General features: G+C 32.1%; 1 protein-coding gene across 35 annotated transcripts in view; it reads left to right on the forward strand.

Annotated features, from left to right (window-relative positions):
* CCSER1 (coiled-coil serine rich protein 1) overlaps positions 1–13396 on the forward strand; it is a 1477902-nt gene that overhangs the window by 592220 nt on the left and 872286 nt on the right. For 29 of the 35 annotated variants that reach the window (XR_001741218.2, XR_938733.3, XR_938734.3 and 26 more), the window contains one exon: positions 4301–4378. Coding sequence is in view for 30 of the 35 variants with exons in the window: in XM_011531936.2 (XP_011530238.1) it covers positions 4301–4378 (78 nt within the window). In the remaining 5 variants the exon portion in view is untranslated. Of the gene's footprint in view, positions 1–4300; positions 4379–7590; positions 7685–12246; positions 12339–12673; positions 13239–13396 lie in introns of those variants that run through there. The other 6 variants (XR_938735.2, XR_007057924.1, XM_011531955.3 and 3 more) reach the window with 4 other exon arrangements.

The following is a 13396-nucleotide window of genomic DNA, read 5'->3' on the forward strand; positions in this document are numbered from 1 at the left end:
TGCAGAACATTCCTCAGTTTAGATTTGTCTGATATTTTTCTCATGATTAGACTGTGGCCATTGGTTTGAGGGTAGAAGACCATAGATGTGAAGGATCCCTCTCTTCACATTATACAACGTTCATGCTGTCTACATAATGCTACCCTTGATCACTTGGTTGAGGTAGTGTGTGCTGGGTTTCTCCACTGTAAAGTTACATTTTCCTTTTTTCATACATTACACTTTGGAAGAAAGTCATTCAGTGTAGCCTGAGGGTGGGAATAGGGTGTTAAGTTTCATCTCTTGAAGAGAACTAGCTAAATGAATTATTTGGAATTCTTCTGAAAAAGGATTTGTCTCGTCTATTTATTTGTTGATTTGGAATTTTTCTGAAAAAAATGGGTCTCTTCTCCCGATTTATTTGCTCATTCTTTTAATACTTTGAGTTATACTCTGTAGTATGTTTTTTATGTTGTTGTTCGAATTGTTCCAGCTTTGGCATTTGGGAGTTCTTTCGTGTTGAGTTCTTTGTTCTTTGTCTCTTTGGCATACCCCTGTTCTTTTGTTTTTTGAGTACTTCCTTGCTTTATGGTACCACAGGATGCTCCAGAATCATCTTGTGCCTCTTGTAAATTTCTTGTCCCATTCTGGACTTGGAATTAGCCATTTCTCCTAGGAGCCCTGGTTTGTTTTTTAGAAAAAAAAAATTAAAAAAAAACACAAGACCTAGGCACTGGGTGTTAGTAAGGATATTTTATTTAATAAAATTACCACATTTTCCACAGAATCAGAAGAAAAACATAAGACTTATACAATAAAATATTTATAATACTTGTAAAAGATTCTTTCATTTTCATGGATTAAAAATTAACTCCCTAACTTATGAATCAGTTAACTGTATTTCAAAAATAAATTTAAATTTTAAATTTTATATTTTGTTTGTTTGTTTTTGCATTTGCAAGATTTAATAGAGTGAAAACGGAGCTCCCATACAAAGGGAGGGGATCCAAAGAGGGTAACCTAAATTTTATATTGTTAGATACACACGGCTGACTTGGAAATTGTATATACAGAACATTGACAGTACTAAGTGACAAATAGTTTGTGAATCAATTGAGAGTTCTTCCTTTCTTCATATCAAAATGAAGAAGATAATACTATGTTTCCCAATGCTATTAAAATGAGTACATGTTTGTATTTATCAATAATAAATATAATAGTAGCAGTTATGAGAAGATGTAACACTCAAAATATCAACTTTATTTTCTGATTATTAATAGTGCCTCTTATTCTTCAATTTCTCTGCTTTTTTAGTGACAGAATATTGAGTGAGGAATGAAATCGCTTGTCAATTAAGGAAATTGTCTTCTAAAAACAACAGCAATAAAGAAATGAAAGAGTTTTTTAATAATTAGGCAAGTAGAAAGGATTCTAGAGAGCAATATTCATAAAAAGAAGGTGATATTAACCAGAATATTTATAATATGCTCAGTAAATTCTTGTCTAGATTTTATTATTGAACCTAAGGATGACACTTAGGAGAAAAATGAAAGAGAACATAGTCTACATTAAATAGAAATAGAAAGGGAGAGGTGACCAATTTGTGCAAAATAACATTTTAATGGTAGGTAAAATGTTAGGTTCATATTATTTATCTGTGCTAGTGTTTGAAAGAAGCAGTTTGTCTGTTGGACTTACAACCAAAAACCAGGTTAAGAACACTTGTTAGAATAGGCTTCTTATGACAGGAATGTCTATTGTGTCTCCAATGGATTAAAAAAAAATTCATGAGAATTAAGGAGATTTATTCTGTTGAGATATTTGCTGCTTTTAGAAAATAGCTCTTCTATGTTCCCATAGGATTCACTTTCACATTATTATGAACCAATCACTTGTAAAATCTCTGAAATATATCAAAAGCAGATGAAGCCATAATTCTGACAGAACATTTTATGAAGAAAGTTGTGGATTAACAAAAACCATTAGCTTTTAAAAACATCAAATGTAACTTAAGTATTTTATTTAGATATTAAATTGTATCAGTATTGCTATTGTTGAATGAAAGAGTAAATGGATTAAAATATGAAATATGGATAAGACTTATCTTCAAAAGGTTTACGATACTATTTGATCTAAAAGAATAAGCAAATTGGAATGATACCTAAATTACAGATCACTGAAAAGCAAATGGGAAAACAATAGGATAAACATGAAAATATGTATTTCTCAACTTGATAACTAAGTACAGTTTATCAGCTGTTGTCATACGAGATTGATTTGTTTTTTTAAAATATTTATCTCAATATTTCCTCAGAACAGTAAAATTAAGGTGTCACACTTTAAGATTGATTTGAAAATTATAGCTAGAACACAATTTTCTCTTAGAATGACATTCAAAGAATCAGTGTTACATAATGTAAAATTTGGAGTCTGCTTTTTACTACCCTTTGATTTATATGTTAATTTCTGGAAAGTTGTGGGAGACCTCAATCTTTAAAGTTTACCATGAACCTTGACTTTGCACTCCTCATGTTCTTATAAAAATTAAACCTTCATTGGAAAGACTGTGATCCAGGCTTTTCAATTTTTACAAATGAATGTCATCTATGTCTCCTAAATATATAGTTTTTGAGGGTATGATACTTTAATAAGCTATGCAGGCTGTCCATACTACAGGTAAATATCGAATAATTCAACTATGAACGAACTGTGTTCTGTCACTTGCTTAAATTCTTGTGAGAAATCCAACTTTAAGAGATTTAGCTCAAGAGTCTTTTTTTCTGTGTTTTTCAGCATAAAGCTTCATTCATGTCTTACGTTAACATCCTGAGGTAAATTAGTTAGCAATACCAGCCTTGTTTCTCTATTATGTCATATAATCAGAGAGCGAGAGTCAGCAATTCATAATATTTCCTGGATTGATCAAATAAATGGCATAGAACTCCGGATAAATTTTGAAATTAAAGTCAATAACTAACTCACTTCAATTATCTGGTGCATGTATTTTCCTACTTCCTTTAGTAGATTATTGTTCAATTTTTACCTAATTTCCTTCTTTAGATATTTTTACTCAATGCACTGCCTTATATCAATTTCCAAAATAGGTGTGGTATGTGTTAAATTAACATTATGCTGAATATCTTGGTTCCTGTGTTTATAGTTCTTATCCTTGGTTTCTGGACTAGGGAGTCATAAGTAGTCCCAACTTAATGGATATTTAAAATATGTCCAGTTTATTGTACATTTGAATACAGTGAATTGAAAATAATCCTTGAATAGAAAGTCTCTAAGAATAAGTAGCGGTTGTAGCACCTATGCTTTGAATGCGTTCTTTTGTTGAAACTTAAGTGAGTCAAACTTGCCTACTTATATCCTTATCTCACTTGAGGTGAATTCATTCTTTGGTTTTAATCTTCACTGCAAAATTTCTGTGTGTTTGCACATATATTTAGAAACCAAGCTGAAAATGTAGGTATATATTCTTTTCAATGTTTTCTTTTGTTTTATTTGCATATGGGAGAATCCCTCTGAGAGACTGTGTTAAGAATATAATAAAATGACTTCTGTTGCTACCTACTATTAGTATATTTTTCTTGCTTTTAGAAAAGTAAATTAATGATGAACTTCTAACTGATATATCTTTCTTAGGCTAATCTCTCATTAAAGACGTTTTAATTGATTTTATTTTTAAAAGACTAGATAAACAGCCATTAGCAACATTCCAGGCATTCTCTTACATTTGTGTAAATCTTTTATCCTTAAATTTTTGTTTAGCAGAATAAAAGAAAGGTAAAATGTCAGGGGCTATGAATTTAGGAATTTAAAAAATTTAATATTTTTTCAGTTTGTAATTGTATATTATGGCAGATTGGTTTACATAATGAAAAAAATGGTTGCAATGATTTAAATCTTTATAGAAGAAAAACTGTAATACACGTTTGAAAATCAGTCTGAAATACATTGAAATAGCAACATAATGAATTATTACAGATACAGTTTAATTTAAAAAAGGTAAAATATAAATTAAGCAATGATGATAATAAATACCACCCTAACACAAAAAATGGCCATTATATTTGATAAAATGCACTTAAAATATACATGGAGAGTGATAATTTGACTAATTTCCCAGATAATCATTTCTGTATAAGGAATGATTTATTATATAATTATGATTAAATCTACGTTAAATCTGATTTTTTACATTCATATTTTACTTATTATTTGTTTATTTTAATGATTTATTTATTTTTCTAAATTATGAATAGTCAAAATGACTACAAAACAATCCTAATTAAATTCAATTTCACTGTCCTTGCAGAGTGCAGACATGAGTCCAGCAAGCAGTACCACGTCACTTCCTGTTAGTCCTCTTACTGAAGAGCCAGTGCCTTTCAAGGTAAAAAACAAACAAGAAAGCATTATTTATAAAAATATTAGGATAGTTAATAAATAGTTTAAAATAGTTTATGTGTAGATGGTGAAGTGAACTGCTTTAATCTTCAAGGGTCTGATTTCAAATCTTAAAATCGTTTTTTTGTGTGTTCCATTGTCATTCTATTGCTAACTAAAGGTAAAGGTTTGAATGATAATTAATACTTTATGGGACAATTGTTTGTCTTACATGTAAATGGTGGAGTTTTATTGTAATAGGTTGATTCACATGAATTAGAGGTTTTAAATATTTTGTTTATAGTAATTATATTAATATAAGTCATAGGGGAAAAAGGAAACATTCAGCCCTCATCTAGTGGTTAAATTTTCATTAGCAATGCTAGGTTACCAATAATTAATGATGTAATCCTTTTAAAATAAGAGTCAAAATCAAGAGTTGAAATATGGAATCATTCCACCAAACATATTGTATTTAATAAATATTGGAGTAAATATGCAAATAAGTATGTGGTATGACTGGTGGCATTTTTTTCACTTTGGGAAGCTATATACATAACAAATACGAAGTCTTGTTTTGCCACTTAAGATTAGATGTTTCTATTTAAGCCAAAGCTTGTAGATCAACTATTTTATGTTTGTACTGGGGTATTTAGATATTATTAGGATTATTATAAATAAAAACAATTCTTAAGAGCCTGAGGAAAAAAACTTAAAACGTTGGGATGATGTACTTAAGTGCACTGATTTCAGTATAGTTTGGTTTAAAGACGTGCACATTTTAAGATTATCACTTTTATGACTGCAATATTTTAACATACAATTATTATGAGAGTTTTTTATTTTTCATATAAGGAATGTATCTTATTCAATTTTATATTGCTTATACCTAGTACAGTTGCTGGCATGGATTTTCATATATTCAATATTGCTGTCTTGTTGAAATGATAATTATAGAAGGCTATGAATTCAAATGAGAGTATTTAGTTTTCTAATTATGGACACTTTTTTGCTTAATGAGAGTCAAATATTTGTTAGAAGGCCCTTTCTATACCTGCTAATTGTTAAATACTGAATGATATTCTGATTACATTATTTATTGAAACATTTTCTTTATTATTATACAGATAAATGAGAAAATAATACTAATGCTACAAAGTTTGATGTTACCGTTTTATGGTATATGGAACAAATTTACTGAAGAAGCATATCTTTAACAAGATTTTAATTGAATTCTCAAAACTTCGCCAGAAACCATTTTTTCTTTTTAATATTTTGACAATGATTACAGTCTTTGAAAATTAATGTATTTTTTAACAGAGGTTAAAAAAGGTTAGACATATTTCAGAATCTGCTGACATAAAGCTAATATAAATATAATTAGTTTCTCTAACTGGTTCTGAGAGATCAATAGTTTTGGGGTAAATGTAAATGGTTCTATAAGAAATTAAAACTTTCAAGTGCTTATAATATTTAGTATTGTCTTTTGATGGCCAACATAGTTATAGTGACTTTTAATTTACTCCTTTTGTGAAAGGAATATTGCCTATATCTTTTCAAAATATTTAATCACCTATAAAATTATCCCACTAGTGTTTATAAGTATCTAAACTTAAAAATCAAAATTATGAAATAAAACTTTATCTGCTTCTTTCATTTTTAGCTTATAAATTGTCATTGTGTAAATGAGTAATATAATACTTAATGTTACATAAACACAAAATATACAGAACTATTTTGAACAGAATCTTAACAGTATAAAGCATTGTAATTCCAAGGATATGTTGAGAATTATATAACAAATAGAAGACATTTAAGTTTTCTTATAACCACATTCTGAAAAAGTCTAATATTATAATTCAGATGTATAAAACTTTGATTAAAATTATGATATCTGAATAGCTAGGTAACTAGAAAATAAAAGGTTGTCTTTTTCACCTATTCCCCATGAATGTGACATGATATTTCATGTTAGTATTAGATTAATCCTCTTAACCTCTTAGCTTACTTTTCTAAGATACAGTGATTTCAGCACTCAACCCCATCACAATCCACCCTAACATTAGAAGAGCAAAGCTTCTTCTAATATTGGTGGGTGATTGAGGGATTTGATTTTCCTTTTTCTTCTGGGAAGTAATTAGATTACTAGAAGAAATGTATTTACTCCACTTTCTTAGTCAGTTTTGGAAGCACTCAGAACAGTTGGAGGAAGATACCTTGTTTTGGCTGGTATGTTTATCAAGGTGCATACTTTTTTTTAAGCATTACCTTTAGAATGACATTCAGATTAAGTTGAATTCAACCACATCATTTGAAATAAAGACAAATGGTAAATTATTTTTATAAAAAATAAATACAAATACTTTCCCACTAATACCCATGCCTTTATTCTTGAATGTTAGATAAGAAATTGGCTATTGTTAGGAATGTACCATAGTAAGATATATTAAATTAAGTATGGAAAAAAAGATGGCATCCTAGGGACTATCCCAAGGTAGGTTAAACTTTAGAGATACATGAATTTAAAATGGCAGTTCAGTCTTGTTTGGGATCAAATGTTTATTTTTTCCAATATGGCAGCATTTTTCAACTTTGTTAGTATTGGAGCCCATTCTTTCAATTAATTAAAAACGATCTGCCCTGAAAGATAGTCTAAGCCCCACATACATACTCACTTCTCTATTCCCCCACACTATGGTTCAGTTCCTGCTAATCTCAAATTTACTGTTTAAAAACCATTGCTAGAGTGGTTTGATTGGTGTAGCTAGCCTTTCAAAACTGAGGACATTTCACACAAAAATTCATCCAACTTTGTCTTAAACAATTGAAAAATCTGGAAACTTTGTGGATCTCGTTGTAAGTAGAACTACTTGATAAGAGATGAGAAGGCTTTCTCCATCTAGACAGGGTACATAAACTCCAGGTCACCACAGTCATCACCATTCCTACTATATTCATGCCAGGTGATGAATGCATTTGACTGTATTCTTTCATAGAAGATAGTGTATAATTCACAATCTTCCACATATACTACACATAATAAACTCCAGATTTCCTGGGCAGCCTCTTGATACTGAGGAGTTTCTAGGATGCTTGGTTCAAAAAGTTTCTTTTATAAGAACTGTCAGATTCTTTTACCTTTATAAACTATTGTTATGGGCATCTATTTGGAAACAAAAGGCAAATGTATAACCTCTAGTTTTTGTTGTTTTTTAATAGAATATTCAGCATTATATCAACTGTACACACATATGGTCTGACACATGCCACTGCATCATTATAGAAGAGCCAAAGGATAACCAATTTTGCATAGGTAGGAACAAAATGTTATCAAACATCAACAACAGAATCATAAAAGTTCAAGATCATTAAAGTGAAACATTGCTCTGATAAAAGACAGTGGATTGCTTAGCCATTAAGTTTTTTATAGTTTTCTGAGGACTAAACCTGAACAAAATTGATGTTGTTAATTTTAATGTGCTCATTCTATCCTTTTCTATCTTTTCCCTCTGGCATTCTCCCTGATTTCTTGCAAACATCTAATCACTTCCTATCTCATCTGCCTGACATCTCCCTTTGTTAGCCTTGGTAAAATGCTCCACACTGAAGATGGCTTCAAGCCACTACATTTCACTGTTCTTTAGTAGGATGACCCTTTCAATGTTTTGTACATATGCAGTTATTAGCAGCCTCAGTCCATTCCTGGAACTAACACTCTTGAAGCTAAAGCTGGCTCGTTGCTCCTGACCCTCCATAAAAGTACAATTTATCATGAGCCATGTTCTTTTTGCTAGTAATGTTCATCAGTTTTAAAATTTATTTGTACTTCAATGAAGCATGATGGCTACATTTTAGTCTCTTTTCCTACTTAAGTAATATTTTTTGATTAGATATGTTAGGAAATCATATTATCCTACTGTACTGTATTATATTTATCCTGTGATAAATTCAGCAGGAAAAAAAAACTTCTATTCTATTGTTCTTTGAACTTCTGAAGACTTTTGTAGCTTCAAAAGTACACAAAGGCATTGAGGAATACCCTCCATTCACCAATCCTTGATCAAAATTTAAAACAAACCTAATTCATTGCATTTCTTGGCCCATTGACTACTGCTTCCCTGGGATGTTTGCATTCCTGGAATGCCTAGAGGGATTGTCACAGTACCTGGAATGCACAATGGCACCACCCTCTCCAAGGTATGGCCACATTCCCAAGGAACTGACAGTGTGGCATTTGGTTCTTTCCTAGGTCTCTTCTTCTTATGAAATCCAAGGTTCTCTGACTTCTTTTCCTCATCCCTAGTTATTTCTCTTTAGTCTAAAGAAACTCCAAGCTTCTCTCAGAGATGTTTCTTCTCTCCTTAAATCAGCCAGGGCACTGATAAAACAATATCAAGAATAAGAACAAGAAAAAACTCTTTGATGTACTTTTTAGGAATAGAATTGTGTCTGAAGATTCTTCTGCCGTGACATGAACTTAACTTTAATATGCACAGAGCCACTTTGCTTAAGCAGGGGATAGAAGGGAGGAAGTAGATAAATAAATTGTTTCAAAAAATTTTTTTGTAGGCTGGGTGTAGTGGCTCACCCCTCTAATTCCAGCACTTTGGGAAGCTGAGGCAGGAGGTTCGCTTGAGCTCAGGAATTTGAGCCCAACCTTAGCAATATAGGGAGACCCCCTCCCTATTATTTAAAAACATATATTCTACCATGAAATACTGGTATGTTAAGCAATAAAAATGATGCTTAACTTTACGTGACCATAGAGCCTGGATTCAGGAATTAGTAATGTGTAGTAACACACAGTTTGCTCCCTATTGTATAAAATGAAGTGTGTAGAAAAAAAGATGCAGTAAATATAGAATTATCAATCTTCAACTCTGGGGATGGATCACACTATTTTAAGAAAAATTTTCTGTAGTTTCTATAATGACCACTTATTTCTATTTTTAAAACAATGTTTATTTTTAATAAAGCAGAAAAGAGAATTGGGGGCATTAGAAGCAATGCAGTCTAATTAGGAGGCTGTCTGGGAGGATCAAACCCCAGTTTTGCCACTCTCTAGCTATGTGAGACCTTGAGCCAGTTATTTTGTGTCCAAATATCTTATTTATAAAATGACAACAGCAACTACTTCTTCATTAGGTTCTTATAAGGTTAAACAAGTTAATAAATGAAAAGTGTCTACAATAGCACATAGTAACCCATATGTAACTGTTGATTATTATTTTTATAGATGCAAGATCTCCAAGTTCAATGCAAGAAAGTCTTATAAATACTGTAGGGCAGAAATTTTGCCACTGAACTCCTACTACTTTATTTTCAAATATGAAAGAAATATATTTTAAACATAAATTATTTACTTTGATGAAGATTCAAGTTTAACATTTATTCCTACAAGTCATGCTATTTATTTTATACGCTTGAGTATTCAGTTGAGCTCATATATCAGATTCCTCTTATGAAAAATGATTAATGGAAATGTTTATTAATTTTGAGAAGGAGTAAATATAATGAATTTGTCTTGAGGGAAAACTGGTAAATATAATGAAACACTACTTGGAAAAAATACATAATAGTTTCTGTAACAATAAGAACATATATATATTGGCCGGGCGCAGTGGCTCACGCCTGTAATCCCAGCACTTTGGGAGGCTGAGGCGGTTGGATCACAAGGTCAGGGGATCGAGACCATTCTGGCTAACAGGGTGAAATCCCGTCTCTACTAAAAATACAAAAAAATTAGCCTGGCGTGGTTGTGGGCTCCTGTAGTCCCAGCTACTGGGGAGGCTGAGGCAGGAGAATGGCGTGAACCCAGGAGGTGGAGCTTGCAGTGAGCGGAGATAGCACCACTGCACTCCAGCCTGGGCTACAGACCGAGACTCCATCTCAAAAAATAAATAAAAATAAAATAAAATAAAATAACAAAAGAACATATAGTATCTTTTTATCAGGCATACACCATAGCAACTTTTTCTTTTGTTATCCAAACCACCACAGTAACGTAACCTGGTAACCTCCTAAAAGCATACCTTCCAGTGAAGGAATATTATTTAACCACTTTAGAATACTGGGGAAACACCCATTGTGAACAAAGTGCTGCTGCTGTTTTACTTGTTTATATATTATAACATCAACATAGTGAGTAGTTTCGATTTATTTCATCTAAATATATCATTATGTAAAAGAATACATTTGGAAACTCTGAAAGACAGAAGCCAAATTGTGGCATGACCTTCACAACATCATCTGTTGTGTATCCTGCATAGACTCATTTTTGTGTGTGTATGAGAGAGTTTTTATTGTTCCTTTTCATTTATTGAATGTAATGGTCTCTCTTAGTATTAGAAATCGCTTTTTTAATGTATCCCTGGAAGAGCCCATTATGGTATATTTCTGCATTTCTGGTCATTTTTTACTAAGCCATCTATGCATTCAAGGATTTGTTGATGAATCAATTTGTCAAGTACCTACCATGTTCTTAGTAATATTCTAAGGCATTGGTATGTCGATGTCAACAACACGAACTAAATCCCTGCATTAATGGTGTTTGGGTTCTTGGGAGAAGAAATAGACAACCAGCAAATAAATATATAAAATGTCAGGTAGGGTGATAAATGTTATGATGAAAAGTAAAGCGCAATATGAAGGATAGAAAGTGGCACTGGAGTGTGTTGGTGTTTCAAAAAGGATGGCTAAGGAAGACCACTTTGATTATGGAACATTTTAGTAGAGACCATAATGAAGAAAGGGAGAAAGCCACTCATGTTTTTATGGGAAGAAACCTGAGAATAACAACTGCAAAAGCAAGAGAATACTCGGTCTTATCAGGAATGGCAAAACATTGTGTTTGGAGTAGAATGAATGATGAGACAAGTAATACAAGTTTAGGTCACAGAGAAATCTTATCATAAAAGGTCTAGTATGTCATGATAAAGACTTAAGATCTTATTTCACATATGATGAAAAGCCATTAGAGTGTTTGTTGAAAAAAAGAATGACATAATCAGACTATTGTTAAACTATTGCTTTGGTTTCTGTGTAGATATAGGCATTACTGAGTCAAGGCTCCTATAGTTGAAAGATTATGATGGCTTAAACTGGAGTGGTAAAAGTTGAGGGGATAACAATTGATTGAATATTGAGTACATTTTGAATGTGGGGTCAGCAGGATTTGTTAATATATTGTATGTAGAATATCCTAAAAGAACAAAATCAAAGATAGTTTCTGATACTAATTTTTTAATGTTTTCCTATTTTTACCCTTTAGGTAACTTTCTGATGTTACAAATAGATAGCATGATACGGAGATTAGTAAAATCTTATTTGTTTGGTTGGCTTAATTGTGTTAGTAGTGAGGCAGTAATTGTGAAATGGCAGACGATGTTGGTTTTGCAGGGGATAATATTCAATCCTACAAGTAATACTAATTTCTGGTAATATATTTTATCTGCCAGATAACTGAAAGCACATAGGTAAAACTAAACATAATTTGTGGTGGATGCTGATAAATCAATAATTATGGTTTAGAAATATGATTCATTAATACATAGGTGAAGAAATAAGCAGGTAAAAATAAAATTCTTTGAGGGATAGCTGATGAATTTTGAATATAAACCATACAATAGGTATATATTTGAGGAACCAATGTATTTTATAAAAATCATTTTAAATAAACATGGCATCATTGTGGTTCTCTAATGGGAATAAATTTTAAGAGGGTTCTATTATTTATACTATGTATATTTAAAGCAATTATTTTTGATTGATGTAATACAAAATGATAGTTTCACTCATATAATTCCAAGTAATAAACCATCTCAAAACCTGTCAGTCTAAAATAATAATTTATTATTGATGTTTATGATTCTGTAGGTCGACTAGACTCATCTGGGCAGTTCTTGTGTGAGGTTTTAAAGTGGGTACAGTCAGACTGAGGTTGAGAATGGGGTCATCTGAAGGCTCAGGTGAGGTAGACTCCCAGGATAATTCCTTTATTCACAAGTCTGGTGTTGCACTGAAAACACTGTACCTATTGGGATTTCTCTCTCTCTCTCTCTCTCTCTCTCTCTCTCTCACTGCTCTATTCTACTTCTGCCTCCCTCTTTCTCTCCTCAGCCTCTCCATGGACTAGCTTGAGCTTTCTCACAACATGCTGGTTTTGGATAATTAGACTTGTTATATGATAGTTGGCTTCCCCTAGGGTGAATGTTCCACAGGAAAAGAAAGGGAAACATGTCAGTCTAATTAGGACTAGACCAGAAATACACAGCTTCACCTCCACATTGTTCTATTGATTTAGCAGTTCCAGAGTGTGTCGACAGTCCCTAAGACTACCCCTACATTCAGAGATTTGTAAGAAGACACAGAATTCAACAGAGATCACACTCGCCTCTACCAGCAATGTGAACAGAGGACATGTATGTGATATTTCTGCCCAGTAAAGGCCAGTAGCAACTCAGCACCAAAGGATTTTACTGGGGGCTTATCATGTAGGAACCCTGTACCTAGTGTATATCCATATTCTAAACTCCCAGAAGAAATCAGGTATTTAACATAAACATTATTGTACAAATATTGTTTGTACAAACTACTTAGGGACAGTGAGCCAATCTTATCATTTATGGAAATCTTTATATGTATGTAGGACTCTGGTTACCAGTCAGTCAAGTTCTTAGATACCAACCAGTGGCTAATCTTGCAAGTGGGCCTTTCTAAGCACTATATATTAATTTGTTCTCTATCTCCATCAGTTTAATTATTGTAATATTTAGCTCCCATAAATAAGAACATGTGTAATTTTCTTACTTTCCTTGGCATATTTCACTTACCATAATGACTTCCAGCTCCATCCCTGTTGTTACAAATGATAGCATCTAATTCTTTTTTATGGCTGAATAGTGTTCATTGTGTATATGTATCACATTTTCTTAATCCATTCATCTGTTGATAGTCACTTGGATTATTTGCAAATCTTGACTGCTACGAATAGTGCTACAGTAAACATGGGAGTGCAGATATCTCT

Source organism: Homo sapiens, chromosome 4 (assembly GCF_000001405.40).
Source record: "Homo sapiens chromosome 4, GRCh38.p14 Primary Assembly".
NCBI lineage: Eukaryota > Metazoa > Chordata > Mammalia > Primates > Hominidae > Homo > Homo sapiens.